Source organism: Homo sapiens, chromosome 13 (assembly GCF_000001405.40).
Source record: "Homo sapiens chromosome 13, GRCh38.p14 Primary Assembly".
Taxonomy (NCBI): domain Eukaryota; kingdom Metazoa; phylum Chordata; class Mammalia; order Primates; family Hominidae; genus Homo; species Homo sapiens.
The window spans coordinates 78,926,927-78,928,553 of record NC_000013.11 but is presented as its reverse complement, the minus strand read 5'-3'; positions in this window follow the sequence as shown (position 1 = coordinate 78,928,553).

Genomic DNA, 1,627 nt, shown 5'->3' with positions numbered 1-1,627 from the left:
ATGACATCACATCTTACCATCTTACTAGTAGTAGAACCCCAGCTGAGTTGCTTAAATCTCACCATGCCTCAATTCTCTCTTGTGTAATAATTGAAGATCATAAAAATACTTCCCTTACAGGGTCATTCTGAGGAATACGAGTTGGTCAATGTGAAGTATTTTTTGGTTATTTTTTTGAGATGGGGTCTCGCTCTGTTGCCCAGGCTGGAGTGCAGTGGTGTGATCTCGGCTCACTGCAAGCTCCGCCTCCCGGGTTCATGCCATTCTCCTGCCTCAGCCTCCCAAGTAGCTGGGACTACAGGCGCCCACCACCACGCCTGGCTAGTTTTTTGTATTTTTAGTAGAGACGGGGTTTCACCGTATTAGCCAGGATGGTCTTGATCTCCTGACCTCGTGATCCACCCGCCTCAGCCTCCCAAAGTGCTGGGATTACAGGAGTGAGCCACTGCGCCCAGGCAATGTGAAGTCTTTATAACAGTGCTTGATGTTGGAAGTGGCAATCCACCATTCTCTCTGAGCATCCCTGTACGTTCCTGCTAGAAATAAGAATGAAAGGCTCTGATTGCTCTTTATCCAGGGCATTTTCAGGGTTGTGTTTATAGCCAGCAACTTTAAGAGATGAGGTAATATCTCCTAAGACAAAGAGCACACTTGGTTACTGACTGCTATAAAATTGTAGATTCCTCAGGCCCAGTGCTTCTCTCCTCCAATGTAACCAACTGCACGTGCAGACACCCATCTAGGCTCATACTGCATCACCCCTGTGGGTCTTGGGCAGATAGGGGTGGGAAGTAGAACTGATGGAAACATGGTGCTGAAGTAAACATGGAGGTGCTGATATCCCTTCCACATACTGATTTCATTTCCTTTGACTACATACCTAGAAGTGAGATTGCTGAATCATATGATCTATTTCTAATATTTTCAGGAAGCTCAATATCATTTTCAGTGATAGCTGTACTAACTTACACTCTCACCAACAGTGCGCAAGAATTCTCTTTTCTTCACATTCTCACCAGCATTTGTTATATTTTGTCTTTTTTATAATAGCCATTCTAACAGGTGTGAGGTGATATCTCATTTTGACTTTAGTTTGCATTTCCCTGATGGTTAGCAATATTGAACAGTTTTTTCATACACACATTTGGTCATTTGTATGTCTTTTTTTTAAGAAGTGTCAATTTAGGTCCTTTGCACATTTTTAAATCTGGTTATTAGTGGGTTCTTTTGTTATTAAGCTGAGTTCCTTATATATTTTAGATATTAACCCCTTACTGGATATATGATTTCCAAATATTTTCTTCCATTCCATAGGTTGTCTCTTCACTGTCAATTGTTTTCATTGGTGTGCAGAAGCTTTTTCATTTGATGCAACCCCATTTGTCTATTTTTACTTTTGTCGCCAGTGCTTTTGGGGTCATATCAAAAAAATCATTACCCAGACCAATATCATGGAGGCTTTCTCTTATGTTTGGTTCTAGTTGTTTTATAATTTCAGGTCTGACATGCACATCTTTAATCCATTTTGAGTTGATTTTTTTATATATGGGGTGAGATGAGGGTTTAATTTCATTCTTCAGCATGAAAATATCCAGTTTCTCCAACACCATTTATTAAAGAGACTCTT